The 25,437-nt window shown below is 53.1% G+C and overlaps 2 protein-coding genes and 2 long non-coding RNA genes across 6 annotated transcripts in view, besides 7 other annotated features; 2 read left to right on the top strand and 2 right to left on the bottom strand.

The window, feature by feature from the left end:
- On the top strand, positions 655-3,873 carry ICAM4-AS1 (ICAM4 antisense RNA 1). The gene has a single exon (NR_186335.1). It is a non-coding gene; the product is annotated as an ICAM4 antisense RNA 1 (long non-coding RNA).
- Positions 798-867: a silencer, noted in NCBI's record as "silent region_10061". NCBI's record gives its function as "represses an Ori minimal core promoter by ATAC-STARR-seq in GM12878 lymphoblastoid cells {active_cell/tissue: GM12878}" and the evidence as "EXISTENCE:reporter gene assay evidence [ECO:0000049][PMID:35858748]".
- Positions 1,154-2,719, bottom strand: ICAM4 (intercellular adhesion molecule 4 (Landsteiner-Wiener blood group)). 2 transcript variants are annotated; one of them, NM_001544.5, is made up of 3 exons: positions 2,268-2,719; positions 1,836-2,138; positions 1,154-1,688 (listed from the first exon to the last, which is right to left on the bottom strand). In NM_001544.5, the coding sequence occupies exons 1-3, from the start codon at positions 2,659-2,661 to the stop codon at positions 1,570-1,572; spliced, it is 816 nt and encodes a 271-aa protein (NP_001535.1). In that variant the 5' UTR covers positions 2,662-2,719; the 3' UTR covers positions 1,154-1,569. The 2 variants fall into 2 exon arrangements, with proteins under 2 accessions (NP_001535.1, NP_001034221.1); NM_001039132.3 differs by having other exon boundaries at positions 1,836-2,061.
- Positions 2,078-3,047: an enhancer, noted in NCBI's record as "H3K27ac-H3K4me1 hESC enhancer chr19:10397303-10398272 (GRCh37/hg19 assembly coordinates)". NCBI's record gives its function as "activates a minimal SCP1, AML or CMV promoter by ChIP-STARR-seq in primed H9 embryonic stem cells {active_cell/tissue: H9 hESC(primed)}" and the evidence as "EXISTENCE:reporter gene assay evidence [ECO:0000049][PMID:30033119]".
- Positions 2,592-2,731: an enhancer, noted in NCBI's record as "active region_13955". NCBI's record gives its function as "activates an Ori minimal core promoter by ATAC-STARR-seq in GM12878 lymphoblastoid cells {active_cell/tissue: GM12878}" and the evidence as "EXISTENCE:reporter gene assay evidence [ECO:0000049][PMID:35858748]".
- On the bottom strand, positions 3,059-18,554 carry ICAM1 (intercellular adhesion molecule 1). The gene is made up of 7 exons (NM_000201.3): positions 18,448-18,554; positions 14,646-14,909; positions 5,888-6,193; positions 5,354-5,641; positions 5,017-5,271; positions 4,646-4,891; positions 3,059-4,559 (listed from the first exon to the last, which is right to left on the bottom strand). Exons 1-7 carry the CDS (start codon positions 18,512-18,514, stop codon positions 4,387-4,389), a joined length of 1,599 nt encoding a protein of 532 aa, NP_000192.2. The 5' UTR covers positions 18,515-18,554; the 3' UTR covers positions 3,059-4,386.
- Positions 3,102-3,151: an enhancer, noted in NCBI's record as "active region_13954". NCBI's record gives its function as "activates an Ori minimal core promoter by ATAC-STARR-seq in GM12878 lymphoblastoid cells {active_cell/tissue: GM12878}" and the evidence as "EXISTENCE:reporter gene assay evidence [ECO:0000049][PMID:35858748]".
- The window catches only part of LIMASI (lncRNA inflammatory and mucous response associated, antisense to ICAM1), a 23,441-nt gene continuing 4,227 nt past the window's right edge, over positions 6,224-25,437 (top strand). For both annotated transcript variants that reach the window (XR_007067138.1, XR_007067137.1), the window contains exons 1-2: positions 6,224-6,353; positions 22,880-22,984. This is a non-coding gene — a long non-coding RNA (lncRNA inflammatory and mucous response associated, antisense to ICAM1). The remainder of the gene's footprint in view (positions 6,354-22,879; positions 22,985-25,437) is intronic.
- Positions 17,753-17,992: an enhancer, noted in NCBI's record as "active region_13953". NCBI's record gives its function as "activates an Ori minimal core promoter by ATAC-STARR-seq in GM12878 lymphoblastoid cells {active_cell/tissue: GM12878}" and the evidence as "EXISTENCE:reporter gene assay evidence [ECO:0000049][PMID:35858748]".
- Positions 18,903-18,992: an enhancer, noted in NCBI's record as "active region_13952". NCBI's record gives its function as "activates an Ori minimal core promoter by ATAC-STARR-seq in GM12878 lymphoblastoid cells {active_cell/tissue: GM12878}" and the evidence as "EXISTENCE:reporter gene assay evidence [ECO:0000049][PMID:35858748]".
- Positions 21,347-21,641: a silencer, noted in NCBI's record as "tiled region #14536; K562 Repressive non-DNase unmatched - State 23:Low". NCBI's record gives its function as "represses a minimal TATA promoter and a strong SV40 promoter by Sharpr-MPRA in K562 cells {active_cell/tissue: K562}" and the evidence as "EXISTENCE:reporter gene assay evidence [ECO:0000049][PMID:27701403]".

Below are 25,437 nucleotides of genomic sequence, written 5' to 3'. Positions count from 1 at the left end.
CCCAGCCCTGGCTGAGATGCCATGATAATAAGCTGGACTCCGAGCCCCGCCCCCACATTTAGCTCCTCCCACCAGCGCCCCTTAGGGCGGGGATACATTTGGGGACTAAGAGAGATTTGGGAGGCACTGGATGGGGAAAGGACAGTTCTAGGGGAGGGTGTGGGGATGCCTCTCTCACTGATCCTTCTCCTTTTGACCCCGCGGAGCCATACCTCTAAGCACCCCTCCGGGTCAGCTCCCGCACGCGACGGAGGGGGCGGGACGAAAGTGCCAGCGAGCCGAGGACACGTGTGCGTGCGCGCAGCGTTCGCGGGCGTCTAAATTAGAATCCGCTCGGCTCCGGGTCTGTATTTACCCAGGGTGCAGCGGGCACGTGTCTACTCAGCGTGTGTGAGCTCGAGCCACCCTGGAGCGCCCCTGAGTCCGCCTTCTGCTCGGTGGGTGGGGGCCCTGACATCCACGCGAGAACAAGGGACCGAGGGTGATGCTTTTGACTCCGCTTCCGGGCCCCAAGCTTTGACACCCCCCACCCCCAACTCCATGCGCTCATCTGGCTGGGTGACTACCAGAACATCGTCAGAATTCGAGTTTGTGATATTCCCTGTGGACCATCTGATCACCCCTTCCCGGCTGCCACCACATGGATACCTCTTCTGCGTATCCACGTCCCTCAATATGTCCGTGGGACCCTCCCCTCCCCACCATTCGTGGTCTCACTCCAGCGTGGTAAGTTATTTTGGAGATGAGTTCTCGCTCCACAGTTGTTTGGCCTCCAGGAAAGCACAGGGTCTGAAGGTGGGGCTGGGATAGGAAACTTAACATCCAATCAGAGCTGCCGCGTGGTGGCGGCGGCGCCAATCAGGAAAGCCATACCATGAACCCCACCCCGCCCCTGCCCGTGGCTCTCCCCGGCCCGCGCTGATCCCACTCGATAAGGCCAGCAGAAGGAGAGGTTTCTGTGACACCCGCTGGGGATACACAGAGTCTGGGGCTTCGGGACCCCAGGTGGGCCCTGAGTGAGGAAACCTCAGGTGCCCTCAGGGAGACAAGGAACTTGGAGAAAGTGATCGCAAAAACAACAACAACAACAAAAACAAACCAGTTCCTCCGAAGAAGGGCAGTAATGCGGACCCTTAGGTCACAGGACAGAGGCTGGTTAAGGAAGCCTTTATTGATTCCAGAGGGTTCCCCCGCCAATATTTATTTTTATTTTTATTTTATTTTTGGAGACAGGGTCGTGCTCTGTCCCCCAGGCTGGAGTGCAGTGGCACGATCAAGGCTCACTGCAACCTCGACTTTCAGGGCTCAAAGGATCCTCCCAACTCAGCCTCCCGGGTAGCTGGGACCACAGGTGCGGGCCACCACACCAGGCTAATTTGTGTATTTTTTGCATAGACGGGGTCTCACTATGTTGTCCAGGCTGGTCTCGAACTCCTGGGCTCAAGCGATTCTCCTGCCTCGGCCTCCCAAAGTGCTGGGATTACAGGCGTCAGCCACCATGTATGGCCATTTCCCCAGATTGTTTCATATTCCTCTTTTTCTCGCTCAGCCGGCATAGAACATCCCCCTTTACGCCTGGGACTTCATAGCTAGGCACTTGCATAGGTACGCAGCGCCCACAGTGAGGAGGATCCCTACAAGGGCAGCGATGGAACCGGAGGCCAAAGCTGTGGGCGCGGGGCTCCAAGCTGGGAGCAGAAGGCGAGAATTAGGAACGGAACACAGGGAGGTCTGTCGACCCGCGTGGAGCTCACGCTTGGTCTGTGCGCCCTCTCGGGGTCATAACTCTCTCTGCCCCCTTCCTCCTAGTCCCCAGGGTTACAGGGGTGCCTCACCGAGCATCAGTGTAATGGGTGCCGAGCTGTTGCGGACCACCAGGCCGTCGAGATTGAGGCGCGCGTGGCAGATCACGGGCTGCCAGAAGTCGCGGGGTCCAGCAGCAAACTCGTAGGTCAAGGTCACGTTGGCCAGATCCAGGCCGGTGAAGCGCTCCAGGCTTTCGGAATAGATGACCCGGCTTCCATGCCTCAGGGTCACCACCAAGTAGCCCACCGGGAACACCTGCGTCACGTGGCAGCGCAAAGTGTATTTCCTGCCCTTTAAGACCGGAGGCTCCAAAATCACGCTGTGGGGCGGTTCTAAGGCAAGGGGGAGCCTCTGAGTGAGGTCCGCGGGCGCTCCCTATAGAGCGACTGTCAACTACCCTTCCCCCACCTCTTCCAGCCCCCTCCCCTCACCCCAGCCGGGACCGAGCCCCTGTCCCTCACTGTAGGCGGTGATCCTGGAGGTGGCCCAGCGTGTTTTTCCTGCGCAGGTCACGAGGCAGTGCGCGAGGGAGCTCCAGGCCCTCACGTCGAGCAGCTGGTAAGACACCCAACCCGGCCCTCTGAGCGTCTTGCCTTGCCGCAGCGGGGTGCGGAGGCTGGAATTCTGCGGCTGGGGACAGCTGTTGCTGCAATTGAGCTGCACTGACTTCCCCGGCTGCACAGCCACGAACTCCGGGCTCATGCGCACCCAGAAGGGCACTGAGGTCCCGGAGGGCGCGAGAGGGCTACCCTTGGGGCTTTGCGCCCGCTTAGTCCGGCGTCCCAGCGCGCTCCCAACTCCCGGGTAGGCGGCCGCCAAAAAAAACAGCAGCGACAGAGGGAACAGAGACCCCATGGCAAAAAGCCCGGACTAAGGGGCCCCGCGCCAGAGAGCCAGGGCCGGCTCTAGAGATAAGGAGGCCCGCAGCCCCGCCTCCTCGACTCCACCCTGGAGAGGAAGGGGAGGCCCCAACAGAGGGCCCGGGAGTACTGCAAAAAGGGATTCCGCTCCCCAGGTCAAGAATAAGATTCCAGGCCTCATTAGAAACCAAATGTTTTTTTCTGGAGAGGAGTCTTTAGTTTTCACTAGAGACCCAGAAGGTCATAGAAAGTCCGATTTGGACCAGAACCTCAGGGTATGGCCATCAACCCACAATGTTTTCTTGGGGGAGGAAGTGGGAGGATCAGGCTGTGGCTGCTTAGAAAGGACTCCAGCTGGATGTGACACCTCCCCTCAACTCACACAAGGCTGAGGCAGTTGAGAAAGCTTTATTAACTAACACAAAGGAAGTCTGGGCAATGTTGCGAGACCCCGTCTCTGGAAAAAAAAAAAAAATCAAATTTGCCAGGTGTGGTGTTGTGAGCCTATGGTCCCAGCTACTCAGGAGGCTGAGGTGGGAGGATCACTTGAGCCCAAAAGGTCAAGACTGCAGTGAACCATGATTGCACCACTGCACTCCAGCCTGGGTGACAGAGCGAGAGCTTGTCTACACATACACACACACACACACGCGGATGAGGCTTCCAAAGCTGGGAGGGAGTCCTCCAATACCTTGGCCCCCTTCCCCACTGCTTGCAGGACCCTGATCACTGCAGGAAACTGGAGCTGCATAGTGCAAGCTCCCAGTGAAATGCAAACAGGACAAGAGGACAAGGCATAGCTTGGGCATATTCCCTGGGCACTCATGTCCAGACATGACCGCTGAGTGTCATTGTGAACACTGGCAGAAATGTATGTGGGTGGGGAGGTGGCTAACAAAGGTGTCAGTTTTGGGGGGAAGGGAGGAATAAGGCCTCACTGGGTAATCTCTGAACCTGTAACCATTACCAGTCCATATAGTGCTTTTGTGCCGATAGAAAAATCACTCCTTCTGGGGAAAGGCAGGTTGGCCAATGAGAAGTCCCAGCCCCATTTGATCTTTTTGCCAGGCACTCTCCTGCAGTGTACAACCTGTACAACTGTACCTGGTGACCTTGAATGTGATTAGGACTGGGAGCTCCGTGAGGCCAGAGACCTATGTTCATTTAGCCTACATAAAAGACACTCAATAAATAGCTGGTAAAATAACAAATGAATAAATACATATCATCAAGGGTTGGGGTCAGTAGACAGCAGTGCCCAAGCTGGCATCCGTCAGGAAGTGTGGGCCTTTGTGTTTTGATGCTACACATGTCTATGGAGGGCCACTTCTTCTGTAAGTCTGTGGGGCCTCAGCATACCCAATAGGCAGCAAGTTTCAGTATTTCCCAGTTGTATGTCCTCATGGTGGGGCTATGTCTCCCCCACCACTTCCCCTCTCATCAGGCTAGACTTTAACATCCATCAATCATGTCTTGAGTCTTGCTCCTTCCTCTTGGCTTAGTCATGTGACTACAGATCAGATGCGTGGCCTAGTGTTTTAGGTGTGCAGGTACCATGGCCCCAAATGCTGTTGTATCTGACTGAGGACAATGCCCTGTCCTCCGGCGTCCCAGGGCCGGTAGGTGTAGCTGCATGGCATATGTCTTCCACTCTGTTCAGTGTGGCACCACTGCCACCAATATGGGAAGGCCGAGGAAGAGGCCCTGTCCCGGGATAGGTTCAGGGAGGCGTGGCTTGTGTGTTCGGTTTCATGGGGGTCCCTTTTTGGGCCTGTTGTAGTCTGTATTTCTTGATCTTCCGCTGGCGGTTATAGAGGTACGTGCTGAGGCCTGCAGTGCCCATTATGACTGCGGCTGCTACCACAGTGATGATGACAATCTCATACCGGGGGGCTGTGGGGAGGATACAACAGGCGGTGAGGATTGCATTAGGTCCATGGCCCCTGCCCCCACCCAGCTCTGCCCGCCGGCTCACTCACAGAGCACATTCACGGTCACCTTGCGGGTGACCTCCCCTTGAGTGCTCCTGGCCCGACAGAGGTAGGTGCCCTCAAGATCTCGAGTGACAGTCACTGATTCCCCGATGGGCAGTGGGAAAGTGCCATCCTTTAGACACTTGAGCTCGGGCAATGGGTTCCCCCAAGCCTGGCACATTGGAGTCTGCTGGGAATTTTCTGGCCACGTCCAGTTTCCCGGACAATCCCTCTCGTCCAGTCGGGGGCCATCTGGAAAAACACGATGAGATGACATGGAGGTGGGTGGGGGCAGGACTTGGAGGCAAGACCTTATGGGACCTTCAGGGAGATTGGGCCTTGGGGGATAGGGGCCATTGACCAGCAGCCCCACTCACACAGGACACGAAGCTCCCGGGTCTGGTTCTTGTGTATAAGCTGGCCGGCCACCTCCAGGGTTGCAGAGCAGGAGAAGCTGCGCCCGTTGTCCTCTGGGGTGGCCTTCAGCAGGAGCTGGGCCCTCGGGCCCAGTGGCTGGGCTGGAACCCCATTCAGCGTCACCTTGGCTCTAGGGTGGGCCTCACACTTCACTGTCACCTCGGTCCCTTCTGAGACCTCTGGCTTCGTCAGAATCACGTTGGGCGCCGGAAAGCCTGGAATAGGCACACAGTGAGCCCCGCCCCGGGTTCAGGTCACACCCCCAAGAAGCCCCACTCCGCCCCTGCCCCTTCTTACTGTAGATGGTCACTGTCTGCAGTGTCTCCTGGCTCTGGTTCCCCAGTATTACTGCACACGTCAGCCGCTGGGTGCCCTCGTCCTCTGCGGTCACACTGACTGAGGCCTTGGCCGAGAAGGAGTCGTTGCCATAGGTGACTGTGGGGTTCAACCTCTGGTCCCCCAGTGCCAGGTGGACCTGGGCCTCCGAGACTGGGAACAGCCCGTCCAGGGAACAGACCACGGTCCCCTGCGTGTCCACCTCTAGGACCCGGGGGCTGACAAGTTGTGGGGGAGTCGCTGGCAGGACTAGGGAGAGAAGAAAGGTGTGAGCAGACAGGGATGGACGTCCCGAAGCCCTTCTCTGGGGCATTTCATTCCCCCTCCTGCGAGATCCTCTTCCAGGGCCACTCAGCAGCCTAGGTCACATACGCCTAGAACACATGCACCCCTTAGCCGGGGCCACACCCATCTCAAAAGATCCTGTGGCCACAGGCACCGCATTGCAGGATACCCCACCCCCACCTTCTCCCTGCTGGCTTCTTCAATCCTCACCAAAGGTCTGGAGCTGGTAGGGGGCCGAGGTGTTCTCAAACAGCTCCAGCCCTTGGGGCCGCAGGTCCAGTTCAGTGCGGCACGAGAAATTGGCTCCATGGTGATCTCTCCTCACCAGCACCGTGGTCGTGACCTCAGCGGGCTCCCCCACAGCTGGCTCCCGTTTCAGCTCCTTCTCCCCACGGAGCAGCACCACGGTGAGGTTGGCCCGGGGTGCCCCACCCTCCACCTGGCAGCGTAGGGTAAGGTTCTTGCCCACTGGCTGCCAAGAGGGGAGGGGTGCCAGTTCCACCCGTTCTGGAGTCCCTGCAGGAAAACAGAGGTGGGGGTGTCTGGTGAAGTGGACCTTGCTGCCTGCCTAACAGACGAACTGCACCTGCCTGGGAGCCCTACCTCTTCAGTATCTCCCCCAAACACGCCCAGACACCTAAGCAGATAGGAATGTCAAGATCTTCAGTGAAAACTGGTAAGAGGGCCCCGAGTGTTTGTGAAGGGGATCAAAATATTCCTTATTCATGACAGCAGCATCTTAGAGTGAAAAGTGGAAAAGAACTTCAAAGTCTATTGCTAGGTGTCTGGTCAAATAAATTCAGCAGCCCAGTGCACTAGACTGGGCAAACAGTGGCTCGATCTTGGCTCACTGCAACCTCTGCCTCTGGGATTCAGGGGATTCTCCTGCCTCAGCCTCCTGAGTAGCTTAGATTACAGGCACACACCACCACACCAGGTTAATTTTTGTATTTTTATTTTTAATTAATTAATTAATTAAGTTTTTAGACTGAGTCTCCTTCTGTCGCCCAGGCTGGAGGGTGATGGCATGATCTTGGCTCACTGCAACCTCTGCCTCCTGGGTTCAAGCAATTCTCCTGCCTCAACCTCCTGAGTAGCTGGGATTACAGGCACGTGTCACCACACCCAGCTAATTTTTGTATTTTTAGTAGAAACGGGGTTTCAGCATGTTGCCCAGGCTGGTCTCGAATTCCTGACCTCAAGTGATCTGCCCACCCCGGCCTCCCAAAGTGCTGGGATTACAGGTGAAAGTAAATGAGCCTGGCCTAGACATTCTTTAAAAAACAAAACAAAACAAAAAAAAAAACCTGTTGGCCAGGTGTGATGGCTCAGGCTGTAATCCTAGCACTTTGTGAGGCCAAGGCAAGAGGGTCACTTGAGGCCAGGAGTTCAAGACAAGCCTGGGCAACATAGGGAGACCCCCATCTCTAAGAAAAATTAAAAAAAGGTTGGCAGGGCGCGGTGGCTCACGCCTTTAATCCCAGCACTTTGGGAGGCCAAGGAGGGTGGATCCACGAAGTCAGGAGTTCGAGATAAGCCTGACCAACAGAGTGAAACCCCGTCTCTATTAAAAATACAAAAATTAGTCTGGCATGGTGGTGCACGCCTGTAGTCTCAGCTACTCGGGAGGCTGAGGCAGGAGAATCTCTTGAACCTGGGAGGTGGAGGTTGCAGTGAGCTGAGATCGTGCCACTGCACTCCAGCCTAGGTGACAGAGCGAGACTCCATCTCAAAATAAATGAATGAATGAATGAATGAATGGTTAACTGGGTGTGGTGGTGCACACCTGTAGTCCCTGCTACTTGGGAGGCTGAGGCAGGAGGATCACTTGAGCCCAGGAGTTTAAGGCTATAGTGAACTGTGATCATGCCACTGTACTTTAGCCTGGGAAAGAAAGACCCTGTTTCTATTAAAAAAAAAAAAAAGTCAGTAATGACAGAGTCTAATAACAAAAAGGCTGCGTGTGGTGGCTCACGCCTGTAATCCCAACACTTTGGGGGGCCGAGGCAGGCGGATCACCTGAGGTCAGGAGTTCAAGACCAGCCTGGCCAATATAGTGAAACCCCGTCTCTACCTAAAAATACAAAAATTAGCCAGGCGTGGTGTTGTGTGCCTGTAGTCCCAGCTACTTGAGAGGCTGAGGTTTACTTGTGAGGAAAGGATTACTTCAGCCCAGGAGGCAGAGATTGCAGTGAACTGAGATCGCGCCACTGTACTCTAGACTGAGTGACAGAGTGAGAGTCTCTCTCAGAGGAAAAAAAAAAAAAAAAAAAAAGCATCAGGACCGGGGGGGTCCTGCATTTGATACCCAGCCTTGCTTCTTTGCTGTGGGTAAGTGACTTTGTCTCTCTGAACCTCAGTTTCCTGAACTGTAAAATAGGGCTATTAAAGGTAGGAGAATTCACTTAAGAGGTAGACAGAGTCGCTGTACATAAGCAGGAGGTTTCTTTTTTAGAGTGATTGAAATATTTTAAAATTAGATTGTAGTCATGGTTGTTTGTACAGAAGTCATTGAATTATGTGCTTAAAAGGGATGAATCTTATGGTATTCTAAATCGTATCTCAAGAAAGCAAGGCTGGGGCATGGTGGCTCACATCTGTAATCCCAGTACTTTGGGATGCCAAGGCGGGGTCATTTGAGGCCAGGAGTTCAAGGCTAGCTTGGGCAACATTGCAAGACCTCATTTCTCCAAAAAAAAAAAAAAAAATTAAAAACAAGCTGGGCTTCGGCATGGCGTGGTGGCTTATGCCTGTAATCCCAGCACTTTGGGAGGCCAGAACAGATGGATCACCGGAAGTCAGGAGTTCAAGACCAGCCTGGCCAGGCCAGACATGGTGGCTCACGCCTGTAATCCCAGCACTTTGGGAGGCCAAGGCGGGCGGATCACGAGGTCAGGAGATCAAGACCATCCTGGCTAACACGGTGAAACCCCGTCTCTACTAAAAATACAAAAAATTAGCCAGGCGTGGTGGTGGGCGCCTGTAGTCCCAGCTACTCAGGAGGCTAAGGCAGGAGGATGGAGTGAACCCGGGAGGCGGAGCTTGCAGTGAGCCCAGATCGAACCACTGCACTCCTGCCTGGGCGACAGAGTGAGACTCTGTCTCAAAAAAAAAAAAAAAAAAAAAAAGGCCGGGCACGGTGGCTCATGCCTGTAATCTCAGCACTTTGGGAGGCCGAGGCAGGTGGATCATCTGAGGTTGGGAGTTCGAGACCAGCCTGACCAACATGGAGAAACCCTGTCTTTACTAAAAATACAAAATTAGCCTTGTGTGGTGTCGCATGCCTGTAATCCCAGCTACTCAGGTGGCTGAGGCAAGAGAATAGCTTGATCCTGGGGGTCGGAGGTTGTGGTGAGCTAAGATCCTGCCATTGCACTTCAGCCTGGGCAATAAGAGCGAAACTCCGGTCTCAAACAAACAAACAAAAAACACCAAAGAAAAAAAAAAAACCAGCTGGGCTTCCTGCTGGCTCACACCTGTAGTCCCTGCTACTCAGGAGGCTAAGGGTGGGAGGAGGATTTCTTGAGCCTGGGAGTTTGAGGCTGCAGTCAGCTACGATTGTACCACTGCACTCCAGCCTGGGTGACAAAGTGAGACCCTGAGACCCTGTCTCTAAAAATAAAACAGAAAGCTGTTAAGCTGTTAAAAACAAAAACAAAAAAATATATATATATATAGTCAAGAAAACTCTGACCTCCAGCTCTTCTCTCTTACCACCTCCTATAGACTCTTGCAGAACTTGAGGTACCCTCAAACCTCAGCCCCTAGAGGAAACCCAGCTCAGCTGCCTGGTGCAGCGGGGAGGAAGTCTGTCCTGCTCTCACCTCTTCTTGACCCTGACCTGCAGTCCTTTACCAAATCCTGGTCACTGAAGTATTCAAATACTTGTCTGTCCTTCCCTTCTTGAATACGGTCACTGCCCACAACATGGGCCGCGTGGACAAGGACCATAGCCAACTGCTCATTGGCTTCCAGTAAATCCAGCCTTCAGCTATCTAATCCCTGGCCTGCTCAGAAACCCTCCATGACTCCCTATCACCCCAAGAAGGAAAGTCCCAGCTCCTCCACCTGGCATTCAAGGCTCTGCCAACCTCACCCTTCCTCCCATCAATCAATTTTTTTTTTTTTTTTAGGGGCAGTGTCTCTCTCTGTCACCTGGGCTGGAATGCAGTGGTGCAATCATAGCTGACTGTAACCTCAAATTCCTGGGCTTGACCAGGCTCAGTGGCTCACACCTATAATCCCAGCACTTTGGGAAACTGAGGCAGGAGGATCTCTTGCGGTCAGGCGTTCAAGACCAGCCTGGCTAACATGGTAAACCCTATCTCTACTAAAAATACAAAAAAATTAGCTGGGCATGATGGTGGGCACCTTAATCCCAGCAACTCGGGAGGCTCAGGCAGCAGAATCGGTTGAACCCAGGAGGTGGAGGAGGCTGCAGTGAGCCAAGATGGCACCACTGCACTCCAGCCTGGGCCACAGAGTGAGACTCCATCTCAAAAAAACAAAAACAAAAACAAAAAAATTCCTGGGTTCAAGTGATCCTCCCACTTGAGCCTCCAGAGTAGTTGAGAATACAAGCATATGCCACTGTACCCTAATTTTTTTATTTTTTCTTAGAGACAGGGTCTCGCTATGTTGCCCAGGCTGGTCTCGAACTCCTGGGCTCAAACAATCCTCTTGCTTTGGCCTCCCAAAGCACTGGGATTACAGGTGTGAGCCACTGCACCTGGCCTACACCAACCTACCTCCTCCTCCTCCTGCCTCCATCAAGATTTCTCCCTGCTCCCAACTTTTGCCCAGGCTGTTCCTCCTGCCCAGAATGCCTGTCCTTATGAACTCCTACACATCCTTCAAAGCCCAGCTAGTGGTCGCCTCCTCTAGGAATTACACCTCTAACCTTTTTGGAGAAGATTGAGCCATCCAGGGAGGCTTCTTTATGTTTACACCAGGGGTGGGGCAAGACCAAGCTAGAGTCTCTCTCAGGTACCACCCTCCCACATAACTTTTACTCCTTTGCTACCTGTGCCAGCCATCTGCTCCATTTCACAGAGGTAAAAACTAAGGCAAAGTGGGGCACCCACAGTCATAGAGGGAGAAATGTGGCAGAGCCAGGTCTCAAACCTGGAGTTCTATGCTCTCAGCTATCAGGCAGAGCCGCGCGTGGTGGCTCAAGCCTGTAATCCCAGCACTTCGGGAGGCTGAGGCGGGTGGATCACCAGAGGTCTAGAGTTCGAGACCAGCCTGGCCAACTTGGCGAAACCCTGTCTCTACTAAAAATACAAAAATTAGCCAGGCGTGGTGCCAGGTGCCTGTAATCCCAGCTACTGGAGAGGATGAGGCAGGAGAACTGCTTGAACCCGGGAGATGGAGGTTGCAGTGATCCAGCCTGGGCGACAGAGCAAGACTGTGTGTCAAAAAAAAGAAAAAAAAAAAAAAAAAAAAAAAGACCTATCAGGCAGAGATGCAGAAAAGACCTTCAAAGAGGTTTCCCTGGGGTTTCCAGAAGCTGCTGGGAATGTTCGGGGACTTCCCTCACCTGGGAAGGTCAGCATCTGCTCACCCACCCTCCAAATCAGAAGCAAAGCTGATCATTTGATCATTTACCCAGAGGCTTCCTTGCCCTGACACAATGATAGGAGAACATCCTTTGTCACTCACCGTGTCATTTTCCCCATCAGAGGAGGTCTCACCTGATTGCAAAGTAAATGCAGAAGTCATGTCCCAAGCTATTAAAGGCCTTGCTGGGACTGGAACCCAAGGCTAATCCCAAAGCTACTTGGCCAGTTTTTATTTTTTAGAGACAGGGTCTTTCTCTGTCACCCAGGCTGGAGTGCAGTGGTGTCATCACGGCTCACTACAGCCTGGACCTCCCAGGCTCAGGTGATCCTCCCACCTCAGCCTCCTGAGTAGCTGGGACTACTAGTATGCCAGCACGCTTGGTTAGGTTTTTTATTTTTTGTAGATATGGGGTCTTGCTATGTTGCCCAGGCTGGTGTCCAACTCCTGGCCTCCAAGCGATCCTTCTACTTCGGCCTTCTAAATCACTGGGATTATAGGCATGAGCCACGTGCCTAGCCTGCCCAGTGCTCTTCTGTTTTTTCTTCTTTGATTTTGTTTTGTTTTCATTTGAATTCCTTATTTTGGCCTTGATAACTCTTTCCCACCATTCGAAGTCCCCAAAGTAGGAAGGACGCAAAGAGAAATTCTCGGCTGGGGGCAGTGGCTCACGCCTGTAATCCCAGCACTTTGGGAGGCCGAGGCGGGCAGATCACAAGGTCAGGAGATCAAGACCAGCCTGGCCAACATGATGAAATCCCGTCTCTACTAAAAATACAAAAATTAGCCGGGCGTGGTGCTGGGCGCCTGTAATTCCAGCTACTTGGGAGGCTGAGGCAGGAGAATTGCTTGAACCCGGGAGGGAGAGGTTGCAGTGAGCTGAGATTACACCATTGCACTCCAGGCTGGGGACACAGCAAAACTCCATCTCAAAAAGACAACAACAAAAAAAGAATTCTCAGCCAGGCAAAGTGGCTCACGTTGTAATCCCAGCACTTTGGGAGGCCGAGGCGGGCGGATCACCTGAGGTCAGAGTTCAAGACCAGCCTGACCAACATGGAGAAACCCTGTCTCTACTAAAAATACAAAATTTGCCAGGCGTAGTGGCCCATGCCTGTAATCCCAGCTAGTCGGGAGGCTGAGGCCGGAGAATCACTTAAACTCAGGAGGTGAAGGTTGCGGTGAGCTGAGATCGTGCCATTGCACTCCAGCCTGGGCAACAAGAGTGAAACTCTGTCTCAAAAAAAGGAAAAAACAAAAAGAATTCTCCACACCCAAGCCCTCTCCCACAGCCTCCCAGCCTCTCTTCTCATAGCCAGCTAATATTGTCATTTCTCCCACTTCCTTTTAGGGCTATTTTATACATAAATACAGCCTCCCCGAAACTGCCCTTCCCTAATGTGAGGGTGGCATACCACTCATATTCAACATACCTTCTTTTATTTCTTTTTTTTTTTTTTTTGAGATGGAGTTTTGCTCTTGTTGCCCAAGCTGGAGTGCAGTGGCGCAATCTCAGCTCACCGCAACCTCTGCCTCCCAGTTTCAAGAGATTCTCCTGCCTCAGCCTCCCGAGTAGCTGGGATTACAGGTATGTGCCACTATGCCTGGCTAGTTTTTTTTGTATTTTTAATAGAGACGGGGTTTCTCCATGGTGGTCAGGCTGGTCTCGAACTCCTGACCTCAAGTGATCCGCCTCCCTCAGCCTCCCAAAGTGCTGGGATTACAGGCGTGAGCCACCGTGCCCAGCCCATGACATTTTGAGAACTGATGCCCAATTTCCCGCCACAGGGTTGGGCTTATTTATGCTCCCAACAGCACTGTCCTAGGACCTCCTACGTTCCAATAGCCTTGGCAGCACAGCTGTTATCAATTCTTTTTTTTTTTTTTTTTTTTGAGATGGAGTCTTGCTCTGTCGCCCAGGCTGGAGTGCAGTGGCACGATCTTGGCTCACTGCAAGCTCTGCCTCCCGGGTTCATGCCATTCTCCTGCCTCAGCCTCCTGAGTAGCTGGGACCACAGGCGCCTGCCACCATGCCCGGCTAATTTTTTGTAGTTTTAGTAGAGACGGGGTTTCACCATGTTAGCCAGGATGGTCTCGATCTCCTGACCTTGTGATCCGCCCGCCTCGGCCTCCCAAAGTGCTGGGATTACAGGCGTGAGCCACTGCGCCCGGCCATCAATTCTTTTGTTTGTTACCAATATGTGAAAAATGCCATCCCAGGGCTAGTTTTAACTCATATCTTTTTTTTTTTTTTTAAATAAAAATGGGGTTTTGCTATGTTGCCTAGGATGGATTCGAACTCCTAGGATTCGAACCCCTGGGTTAAAGCAATCCTCCCATCACAGCCTCAGGAGCAGCTGGGATTACAGGTGCACACCACGATGCCCAGCTAAATTATTTACTTTTTTTTTCCGGTAGAAACAGGGTCTTGGATGGGCACAGTGGCTTACACCTGTAATCCCAGCACTTTGGGAGGCCGAGGCGGGCGGACCACTAGGTCAGGAGATTGAGACCATCCTGGCTAACACAGTGAAACCCCGTCTCTACTAAAAATACAAAAAAATGAGCCGGGCATGGTGGCAGGCGCCTGTAGTCCCAGCTACTCGGGAGGCTGAGGCAGGAGAATGGCGTGAACCCGGGAGGCGGAGCTTGCAGTGAGCCGAGATCACACCACTGCACTCCAGCCTGGGCGACAGAGTGAGACTCCGTCTCAAAAAAAAAAAAAAAAAAAAGAAAGAAACAGGGTCTCACTCTGTTGCCCAGGCTGGTCTCAAACTCCTGGGCTCAAACCATCCTTCTGCCTCAGCCTCTGGAGTAGTTGGGATTATAGGTACAAGCCACCACACTTGGCTTAATTTGCATCTTTTATTAAAGTGTCTGAAGCAGGACCGTGTCATATGTTCAAAGAGTGAGGCATAGAGAGATGGCATTTTTTTTTTCTTGAGATGGAATCTTGCTCTGTTATCCAGACTGGAGTGCACTGGCACGATCGCGGCTCACTGCAATCTCTGCCTCTCAGGTTCAAGCGTTCTCCTGCCTCAGCCTTCCAAGTAGCTGGGATTACAGGCGCTTGACACCATGCCCGGCTGATTTTTGTATTTTCAGCAGAGACAGGGTTTCGCCATGTTGGCGAAACTTAAACTCCTGATCTCAGGTGATCCGCCAGCCTCAGCCTCTCAAAGTGCTGGGATTACAGGCATGAGCCACCGCACCCAGCCTGTAAATACTTTAATTGTACCCAAAGAAATTCACAAAGGGACTTTCCAAGGATGTCCCCACCTGCCCTGCAAGGAGCCCCTCCTTGACCCTACGAGCAAGTGGCAAAGATTCCCCCAGGCCTCTGCAGGTGCCCCTGCACGTCTCTCCCACCGGGTCTGCCTAGTCCAGCCCTCCGGGCTCAGTTACTCACAGTACACGGTGAGGAAGGTTTTAGCTGTTGACTGCCCATCAGGGCAGTTTGAATAGCACATTGGTTGGCTATCTTCTTGCACATTGCTCAGTTCATACACCTTCCGGTTGTTCCCAGGCAGGAGCAACTCCTTTTTAGGCAACGGGGTCTCTATGCCCAACAACTTGGGCTGGTCACAGGAGGTGCTGCATGTCACCAGCACGGAGCCTCCCCGGGGCAGGATGACTTTTGAGGGGGACACAGATGTCTGGGCATTGCCAGGTCCTAGAAGAAACGAGGGAAGAGGCGACAGGCATTACAAATCAGGTTCATCAAGGGAATGTGCGCCCAGCCTGTGCTGGGTGCTGGAGGCACAGCCTTAACAAGACAATACTTTGCCTTCGATGTGGAAGTTAAAGAGAAAATTCATGAGCAGGCCGGGTGTGGTGGCTCACGCCTGTAATCCCAGCACTTTGGGAGGCCAAGGCGGGCAGATCACTTGAGGTCAGGAATTTGAGATCAGCCTGGCCAACATGACAAAGCCCCGTCTCCACTAAAAATACAAAAATTAGCTGGGCATGGTGGGACGTGCCTGTAGTCCTAGCTATTTGGGAGGCTGAGGCACAAGAATCACTTGAACCTGGGAGGTGGAGGTTACAGTGAGCCAAGATTGTGCCACTGCACTCCAGCCTGAGCAACAGAACGAGACTCTGTCTCCAAAAAAAAAAAAAAAAAAATTATGAGCAAACAAGATAATTAATAACTGATGTTAATATGAGCTTTGACAAAAACAAAACAGGGTGATAGAATAGACAGTGCTTTGGTGACAGGGTAATGTTTCAGCAGAGATCTAAATGACGAGAAAGGGCTGGCTGTCCGGAGAAAAGGGAAATAAGTTCCAGGCAAGTACAGATGTCCCGGGGCAGGGTGGCTGGAGCTGAGTGAGCAAGGATGAAGAGGGGGAGATTAATTCAGGAAGATCCCGTGAGCACTGAAGGCCATGCTAAAGATGTGTTCTTTTATTTTTTTTTTTTTTGAGATGGAGTCTCGCTTTGTCACTCAGACTGGAGTGCAGTGGCGCAATCTCAGCTCACTGCAACCTTTGCCTCCCGGGTTCAAGTGATTCTCCTGCCTCAGCCTCCAGAGTATCTGGGATTACAGGCAAGCACCACCACGCCCAGCTAATTTTTGTATTTTTAATAGAGACGGGGTTTCGCCACGTCGGCCAGCCTGCTCTCAAACTCCTGGCCTCAAGTGATCCGCCCGCCTCAGCCTCCCAAAGTGCTGGGATTACAGGCGTGAACCACCACGCCCAGCCACATGTGTTCTTTATACTGAGGGCAATAGGGAGCCATGGAAGGACTTTAGCCATCACTTTTTTTTTTTTAAACGGGTCTCCCTCTGTTACCCAGGCTGGAATACAGTGGCACAATCATAGCTCACTGTAACCTTGAACTCCTGGGCTCAAGTGATCCTCCCATCTCAGCCTCCCAAGTAGCTGGGACTACAGGACACCACCATACCCGGCTAATATTTGAAAAACATTTTTTTTTTTTTGAGACGGAGTTTAGCTCTTGTTGCCCAGGCTGGAGTGCAATGGCACGATCTCAGTTCACCGCAACCTCCGCCTCCCAGGTTCAAGCGATTCTCCTGCCTCAGCCTCCCGAGTAGCTGGGATTACAGGCATGCGCCACCACGCCCGGGTAATTTTGTACTTTTAGTAGAGACGGGGTTTCTCCATGTTGGTCAGGCTGGTCTCAAACTCCTGACCTCAGGTAATCCGCCCGCCTCAGCCTCCCAAAGTGCTGGGATTATAGGTGTGAGCCACCGCGCCTGGCCCTGAAAAACATTTTTGTAGAGATGGGGTCTCACTATGTTGCTAAGGCTGGTCTCAAACTCCTGGCCTCAAGTGATCCTCCCGCCTAAGCCTCCCAAAATGCCAGGATTACAGGTGTGAGCCACTGTGTCCAACCAGATTTTAATGTGAAGTTGGTGCCCTCCTCCCTCCTAAGAAGTCAGGTGGAGACAGTCAGCCCTCCAGGAATCAGACTGGCTCCTCACTCCCTGAGACACGTAGTTTCCCCCTCTTTGGGCCTCAATTTCCCCATCTGTAAGGTGGGTGAGTATAGCCACCCCATCCCTTGCTAATACAAGTAACTCAGCACAGGATGGGTAGCAACTGGCTACCTTGCAGGTAAGAAAGAAGGGGCTTACGGGGTGGGCACTGTGGCTCACGCATGTAATCCCAGCACTTTGGGAGGCAGGGTGGGCAGATCATGAGGTCAGGAAATCGAGACCATCCTGGCTAACACAGTGATTAGCCGGGTGTGATGGCACATGCCTGTAGTCCCAGCTACTCAGGGAGGCTGAGGCAGGAGAATCGTTTGAACCTGGGAGGCAGAGGTTGCAGTGAGCCGAGATCACGCCACTGCACTCCAGCCTGGGCGACAGAGTGAGACTCCGTCTCAAAAAAAAAAAAAAAAAAAAAAGAAAAGAAAAGAAAGAAAGAAGGGGCTTATTTGGATCAGGTCCCTCAGATTCTGCTGCCTCCGAAGGTGGGAAAAAATGTCTGAGCCCAGCACTGCCTCACTCAAAGATTCCTGTCTCAGATTTGTTCTATCTTGGATGGGGGTGTGAGGACACTGGCTCCATACATTCTCCAAGGGAGATTCTGGGACCATTCCCATTTCATAGAGAGAAATGGTTACTCAGCTAGAAAGCAGTGCGATCTGGGTCTGAGTCCGGATCAGAACGCTTTGTTTTTTGAGACAGAATCTCGCTATGTCTCCCAGGCTGGAGTGCAGTGGCACAATCTTGGTTCACTGCAACCTCAGCCTCGTGGGCTTAAGGGATTTTCCTCCCTCAGCCTCCCGAGCAGCTGGGATCACAGGCGCCCACCACCATGCCAGCTAATTTTTGTATTTTTAGTAGAGACGGGATGTTGCCATGTTGGCCAGGCTGGTCTCAAACTCCTGACCTTAAGTGATTCGCCCGCCTGGGGCTCCTAAAGTGTTGGGATTACTGGCATGAACTACCGTGCTGGCCTGGATCTCAGGCTTTGTTGAGCTGTTAACCAAGCTGTCAATCTCCCACCCTCCTGGTTCCCCAAACTTACACCACCATGAAAGACCCTCTGACCCCTTCCCTCTTCCCTAGCTGGGCTGGAGCTGGGGGAGGGTGTGCTGGGGCGTCCCACTTCTCAGCTTTGGGCCACGGATAAGTCAGCTCTGGAATTCCCCCAAGTAGAAGCAGCCCTGGACTTCCCCAGGGGCAGAGAGGATGAGGAACAGAATATACATCTTGAGGGGGGTGGGGGTCCCTTAAGCCTTGTTGGGTTGGCACAGAGCCAAGTTCCCAAACCATCATGATCGAGTCCTGGGGCCAGGTGCTGCGCTGGGCCAAGATACCCTGCCAGGTGGCCGCTATAACGTTTCCCGTTTTACAGCTGAGAAACTGTAAGAGACGCAATCTAGCCAAGCAAGGCGGTGGTTCACACCTCTCATCCCAGCTACTCGGGAGGCTGAGGCAGGAGGTAAGGCTAGACCCCCGGAGTTCAAGACCGGCCTGGGCAACAAAACGAGGCCCGCCCCTCCCCTCCATCTCCAACCCCCTACCCTTTTTTAAAGCTGCAATCTATAGCCCAAGGCCACACGTGGAGGTATGCAGGGTCTGGATTCGAACCTACTGGCTGTTGCCTTTCAATCGCTGTCTCTAGCCCCTCCTTCCCATAAACAGCTACCTAAGCATGCATGACCTGACCCGGGAGCCGGTCCTCCCGGGGCTTCGGAGAACTGGCCCGACGGCAATCCCCACCCCGACTCACCTGGGAACAGAGCCCCGAGCAGGACCAGGAGTGCGGGCAGCGCGGGCCGGGGGCTGCTGGGAGCCATAGCGAGGCTGAGGTTGCAACTCTGAGTAGCAGAGGAGCTCAGCGTCGACTGGGGCGCGTGATCCTTTATAGCGCTAGCCACCTGGGGGCCAAGGGGCGGTGCTGCTTTCCCGGAAACCTCGCGCCTTCCCCTCCGGAACAAATGCTGCAGTTATTTCCGGACTGACAGGGTGCCCGGGCCGAGAGGGTCATCCTCCCTCGCTGGCCGCTTCAGCTCCGGAATTTCCAAGCTAAAGCAATCGGGCGGCGGTGGCAGGGCGATGACCCCGGGGGCTGCTCCCGGCCTCCACGCCTCCCGTTTCCCGGCCAGGCTAAGCTTGAATCACGGTCTACACCGCGCTAAGCGGTTTATTAAGTACTTTTAAATACTGCCAACTTCCCCGGAGAGTGGAGACTGTTATTGTGTCCATTTCACAAAGCGGTAAACTGAGACTCCAGGCTGCGAGGGGGTCCGAACTCAAGTCCTCCCTCTCCAGCTTACGCAGGCCTCTTTAATCGAGTGGATGAGCCCCCTGCCTGGGTGGGGGCCCAGGAATCCTCCCCGGGCTCCCTCCACTGAGGGATGCCCCTCCCCCTAGGTCACGTCCACACCTAGCTGACACGGGCATTTCTCGAGAAGCGGCCAGAGCAGAGCCAGGCACCTCCCGGCGACCGCTAACCGTGGGAGTGACGAAGCGCGGTCTCACCACGTCCGGGGAAATCGGCGTCCTCTCTCTACACCCGAGGGCACTCACCCCGGCGGCCTCCTCGCTTCCCCTTTCGGCCTTGGCCGCGGAGGCGTCTTTACAGCTCCCAGAAAAAGGAAGGAAGCTGCGTGATCCCTACGCGCCGAGCCCCTCCGCTGGCGTCCCAGGCTCCGCGGGGAAACTGAGGCAGCTAGCTTGGATCTTGACGAGGGAGGGGAGGGGGACGCTCGAAATCCCTGCCTGTCGCTGGGAAACTGAGGCAGCAGCCCCCAGGCGCAGAGGCGAGGCAGGGAGAAGGGGCGCTCGAACCCCTGCCCTACGCGCGAGGCTCCGGCAACTCGAACCCAGGCTCATGCACTAAATATGAGCGGGTGTTTGCTTGGCCACCGCCTGTGCGTGTGACCCCAAGACTCGACATCCACCACGTCGAGGCTGGGTACTCTTAAGTCTCCGAGCACCAAGCCGCGCCGCCTAAGGCTTTCCTGTTGTGGGGCGCGCGCGGCGTCGCCATGGAGATCTCCGAGGGGCCAGGGAGGTCGCGCAGCAGAAGGGGAAGCGAAGGGTCCCCGGACGCGCAGGCCCTTCCTATCGGGGAAGGGGGCTGCGAGTCACTGGCCATCCAGAGACGCATATTTCCCCCGCCTCGGTCATTCCCAAGGAATTTCCACGGGGATATTTTTTTCTTGGGGGGCTGAGGAGTTCTGAATTCCCGCCCCGGAACGGCCTGAGCAAAGTCACAGGGTGGGACGGGGGACGCCCCTGGTCCTCAGAAGGCCTGGGAAAATCCTGCGCCACGGGTTCTTCCTCGGGCGGGTTCCACTGAGCTCTTGCCCCGGCCCGAGGTGCGCGAGCTCCCCCGCGCGGCCCAAGTCCCACTTGCAGCCACAATGGTGCCGTTCTTTTCTCAACATGTGGCTCAATGTTTTTTAAGCGCCTACTGTGTGCTTGGCGTCCTTCCAGGTACTGGGGACACAGGAATGAACAGAGTCAGACAAAAATCCACCTGGGCGCGGCTCCCACCTGTAATCCCAGCATTTTGGGAGGCCGAGATGGGAGGATCACTTGAGCCCAGGAGTTCAAGACCAGCCTGGGCAACATAGGGAGACCCCCATCTCTATGCAAAATACAAAAATTAGCCGGGTGTGGTGGTGCACACCTGTAATTCCACCTACTTGGGAGGCTGATGCAGGAGAATCTCTTGAACCCGGCAGGCGGAGGTTGCAGTGAGCCAAGATAGAGGCACTGCACTCCAGCCTGGGTGAGAGTGAGACTCAAAAAAAAAAAAAAAAAAAAAAAAAAAGGAACAGCCAGGAGAACAGTGTGGCTGGAGCAGGCTTAGCAAAGGAGAGATTCGAGGAGAGGAGCGGGCAGGGAGATGACAGGGCAGATAGGTGCAAGTTCCTGTCACCTGAGGAGGACTTTGTTGTTTTGTTTGTTTGTTTCTGAACCCCAGTCTCGTTCTGTCACCCAGGCTGGAGCACAGTGGTGTGATCTCGGCTCACTGCAAACTCTGCCTCCCAGGTTCAAGCGATTCTCCCACCTCAGCCTACCGAGTAGCTGGTACTACAGGGGTGCGTCACCACGCCTAGCTAATTTTTGTATTTTTAGTAGAGATGGGGTTTCACCATGTTGGTCTCTAACTCCTGACCTCTAGTGATCCGCCCCCCTTGGCCTCCCAAAGTGCTGGGATAACAGATGTGAGCCACCGTGCCTGGCCAGGACTTTGGCTTTTATGCCCAGCGAGGTGGGAGGTATAGAGGGTTCTGAGCAGAGGAAGGACCTTGCCCTAACTCAAGTGTTCACAGGGGCCCAGTTGAGGCTTCAAGAGCTGCAGCCAGGAGATGGGAGAGGAGGTGACTGTTCTAGTCCAGATGAATGATAGTGGGGCCTGGACTGGGCAGTGTCCTTGGAGAAAGGGCTGAATTTGACATCCGTTTTGGAGGCTGGGCCAACTGGAGGTGCTGGGACAAGGGGGATGACTCCTTGATCAGGGTCCGAGCCTTTTGGAGGATGGCGGGTCACTTTCTGAGATGGGAGTGGGATGGCTATGGTAGGGGGCAGGCTGGCAGAGAGAGACGGCACCTCCCAGTCCTCCGTTCCCTTAAGCGTTTTTCAAGGAAAAGGGAAGCAGATATTTCCTAGACCTTTGTTTCTGTCTCCAGGAAGGGCAGGGCTTCCTCCCGGTTGCCAGACAGTCAGGCAGGCCAAAGAATGGCCTCAGACCAGAGGCTGCCCACCAAGGGCAGAAGCCATCCCATAGTGTCCCATGCAAACGCCTTGCAGTTCCCTCAGCCTGGAATGCTCTTCCCTTCAACCCCAACAAGGCTGGCTCCTCCTGTCTTGTGGCCTGAGCTTTCTCCTAAATGAGTGTCCCCCCTACTCCATCCTGGGCCACATCCTGGGCGTTCCTTGTCACTCGCCTTAATATTCGAATTCCTTAACTCATTACTTGCTGAATTTCTTTTTTAATTTTTTGAGACAGAGTTTCACTCTGTCACCCTGGCTAGAGTGCAGTGGCACGATCTCAGCTCACTGCAACCCCTGCCTCCCAGGTTTAAGTGATTCTCCTGCCTCAGCCTCCCGAGTAGCTGGGATTACAGACATACGCCACCAGACCCGGCTAATTTTTGTGTTTTTAGTAGAGACGGGGTTACACCATGTTGGCCAGCCTGGTCTCAAACTCCTGACCTCAAGTGATCCACCTGCCTTGGCCTCCCAAAGGGCTGGGATTATAGGCATGAGCCACTGCTCCCGGCCTATTTAGTTTTTTTTTTTTTTTTTTTTTTGAGACAAAGTCTCGCTCTGTTGTCCAGGCTGGAGTACAGAGGTGTGATCTCGGCTCACTGCAACCTCCGTTTCCTAGGTTCAAGAAATTCTTCTGCCTTAGCCTCCCAAATAGCTGGGATTACAGGCACCCACCAACACCCCTGGCTAACTTTTGTATTTTTTTTTTTTTTCAAGATGGAGTCTCACTCTGTGGCCCAGGCTGGAGTGCAGTGGTGCGATCTCGGCTCACTGCAACCTCCACCTCCCAGGTTCAAGTGATTCTCCTGCCTCAGCCTCCCAAATAGCTGGGACTACAGGTGCGTGTCACCACGCACAGCTAATTTTTTGTATTTTTAGTAGAGACAGGGTTTCACCGTGTTAGCCAGGATGGTCTCGATCTTCTTACCTCATTATCTGCCTGCCTCACCCTCCCAAAGTGCTGGGATTACAGGCGTGAGCAAACGCACCCGGCCAACTTTTGTATTTTTATTTTACTTTTCATTTTATTTATGTAAATTTTTGTGAGGTCGTCTCACTCCGTCGCCCAGGCTGGAGTGCAGTGGTGCAATCTCGGCTCACTGCAACCTCTACTTCCCAGGTTCAAGCGATTCTCTTGCCTCAGCCTCCCAGGTAGCTGAGACTACAGGTACCCACCACCACATCTAGCTAATTTTTGTATTTTTAGTAGAGATGAGGTTTTACCATGTTGGCCTGGCAGGTCTAGAACTCCTGACCTCAGGTGATCCGCCCGCCTTGGCCTCCAAAAGGCGTGAGCCACTGTGCCCGGCAGAGCTTATCTTTGATTACAGATTTCTTCTGGGGAATAGCTTAGTTTGTGGTTTTGTTTTTCAAAACTCTGCTTCAGCAAAGATGTGGGGAAAAAAAAAGGGCTATGGAAACTCTTCTGATTCCAGTTTTGGTGATGGAAGACAGCCACCAGGAAACCCTGCCGAAAGAATGGGTCAGATCAATAATCTGAGCGGTCCCAGTCCTCCTCCAATGGCTGATGGATGAGGAAGGTAAATATCAGTTCTAAGAAGCAGACAACTGGACATGCACATTCATAGCAGAAGGAAACCGTCAAAAAGTAGAGGGAAGGTGGGGTGCAGTGGCTCACCCCTGTAATCCCAGCCCTTTGAGAGACTGAGGTGGGAAGATCACTTGAGATCAGGAGTTCAAGACCAGCCTGGGCAACACAGTGAGAACCTGTCTCTACAAAAAACAAAATAAGTAATCCCAGCACTTTGGGAGGCCGAGGCAGGCGGATCACGAGGTCAGGAGATCGAGACTATCCTGGCTAACACAGTGAAACCCCATCTCTACTAAAAATACAAAAATTAGCCGGGAGTGGTGGTGGGCGCCTGTAGTCCCAGCTACTCGGGAGGCTGAGGCAGGAGAATGGCGTGAACCCAGGAGGTGGAGTGCAGTGAGCCGAGACCATGCCACTGCACTCCAGCCTGGGCAACAGAGTGAGACTAAGTCTCTAAATAAATAAATAAATAAATAATAAATAAAATTTAAGGCCGTGTGCAGTGGCTCACACCTGTAATCTCAGCACTTTGGGAGGCCAAGGCAGGAGAATCACCTGAGGTCAGGAGTTCGAGACCAGCCTGGCCAACATGGTGAAACCCTGTCTCTACTAAAAATACAAAAATTAGCTAGGTGTGGGGACGCGGGCCTGTAATCCCAGCTACTCGGGAAGCTGAGGCAGGAGAATTGCTCGAACCTGGGAAGTAGAGGTTGCAGTGAGCCGAAATCACGCCACTGGACTCCAACCTGGACAACAGAGTGAGACTCTGTCTCAAAAAAATAAATAAAATAAAATTTAAAAAGTGGAGGGCTGACCATGCTGGACGAGCAGATAAAATGTGTATGTCTAAACAACAGTTGCTGACCAGGCACCTGTCATCCCAGCACTTCGGGAGGCCGAGGTGGGTGGATCACTTGAGGTCAGGAGTTTGAGACCGGCCTGCCCAAACTGGTGAAACCTCATCTCTAGTAAAAATAAAAAAATTAGCTGGGCATGGAGGCACAAGCCTGTAATCTCAGCTACTCAGGAGGCTGAGGCATGAGAATCTCTTGAACCCGGAAGGTGGAGGTGGCAGAGGGCTGAGATCATGCCACTGCACTCCAGTCTGGGCAACAGAGTGAGATCCATCTTAAAAAAATAAAACACAAGGATTGCTCTGTCTTCACAAGTGAATGAGGTCATGCTGGGAATTCCCTCTGCAGGGACTGGACTGACCAACATGCAGTTCTCTAAATAAATGCATATTTATCTGATTATCATTTTTGTGTAGTTAAGCATTAACACAGTTTTTGTGTGTGTGTGTGTATTTTTTTTTTTTTTTCGAGACGGATTCTCGCTCTGTCGCCCAGGCTGGAGTGCAATGGCGCGATCTCAGCTCACTACAACCTCTGCCTCCCCGGTTCCTGCCATTCTCCTGCTTCAGCCTCCTGAGTAGCTGGGACTACAGGCACCCACCACCGCGCCCGGCTAATTTTTTGTATTTTTTAGTAGAGACGGGGTTTCACCGTGTTAGCCAGGATGGTCTCAATCTCCTGACCTCGTGTTCCACCTGCCTCGGCCTCCCAAAGTGCTGGGATTACAGGCATGAGCCACCGCACCCGGCCAGCATTAACATAGTTTTGATAAATATTTTTTGGGGCCAGGCTCGGTGGCTCACGCCTGTAATCCCAGCACTTTGGGAGGCCGAGGCAGGCAGATCACGAGGTCAGGAGTTTGAGATCAGCCTGACCAATATGGTGAAATCCCGTCTCTACTAAAAATACAAAAATTAGCCAGGCATGGGGATGCGTGCCTGTAATCCCAGCTACGCGGGAGGCTGAGGCAGGAGATTTGCTTGAACCGGGAGGCAGAGATTGCAGTGAGCCGAGGTTGCACCACTGCACTCCAGCCTGGGTGACAGAGCGAGACTCTGTCTCAAAAAAAACCAAAAAAACAAAAAACTGTGTATTCAGTACTCTCAGTGTCACCTTCTCCAAATTTTGAAATACAGCTCCTTATTTATTTATTTAGAGATGGAGTCTCGCTCTGTCCCCCAGGCTGGAGTGCAGTGGCGTGATATCGCCTCACTGCAACCTCCGCCTCCAGGGTTTAAGCGATTCTCCTACCTCAGCCTCCCATAGCTGAGATTACAGGCGCCCGGCACCATGCCCGGCTAATTCTTTTGTATTTTTAGTAGAGATGGGGTTCCACTATATTGGTCAGCCTGGTCTCGAACTCTTGACCTCAAGTGTTCCACCTGCCTTGGCCCCCCAAAATGCTGGGATTATAGGCATGAGCCACCACACCCAGCCTACGGCTCATTATTAATTCGTTCTCATTTATAAATAAATATCTCACTGTATTTATTTCAGTAGTTTTGCAAAAAACAAAAACAGAAAACTTTTTTTTTTTTTAGATGTGCCGTGATGTGGTCTCGGCTCACTGCAACCTCCACCTCCTGGG

This window comes from Homo sapiens, chromosome 19 (assembly GCF_000001405.40).
Source record: "Homo sapiens chromosome 19, GRCh38.p14 Primary Assembly".
Classification (NCBI taxonomy): domain Eukaryota; kingdom Metazoa; phylum Chordata; class Mammalia; order Primates; family Hominidae; genus Homo; species Homo sapiens.
The sequence above is the reverse complement of the archived record's forward strand: the minus strand, read 5'-3'. Positions and strand labels throughout refer to the sequence as shown.

Excerpts from the sequence above, each read along its gene's own strand:
- ICAM4 (NM_001039132.3), bottom strand. The coding sequence starts at position 2,661 with ATGGGGTCTCTGTTCCCTCTGTCGCTGCTGTTTTTTTTGGCGGCCGCC. Across the intron at positions 2,062-2,267 it reads CTCCAGGATCACCGCCTACA|GTGTTCCCGGTGGGCTACTT; the intron begins GTGAGGGACAGG and ends CACGTGACGCAG. Across the intron at positions 1,689-1,835 it reads ACCCATTACACTGATGCTCG|CTTGGAGCCCCGCGCCCACA; the intron begins GTGAGGCACCCC and ends TTCTGCTCCCAG.
- ICAM1 (NM_000201.3), bottom strand. The coding sequence starts at position 18,514 with ATGGCTCCCAGCAGCCCCCGGCCCGCGCTGCCCGCACTCCTGGTCCTG. Across the intron at positions 5,642-5,887 it reads CTACCAGCTCCAGACCTTTG|TCCTGCCAGCGACTCCCCCA; the intron begins GTGAGGATTGAA and ends TTCTCTCCCTAG. Across the intron at positions 4,892-5,016 it reads CCGGGAGCTTCGTGTCCTGT|ATGGCCCCCGACTGGACGAG; the intron begins GTGAGTGGGGCT and ends GTGTTTTTCCAG.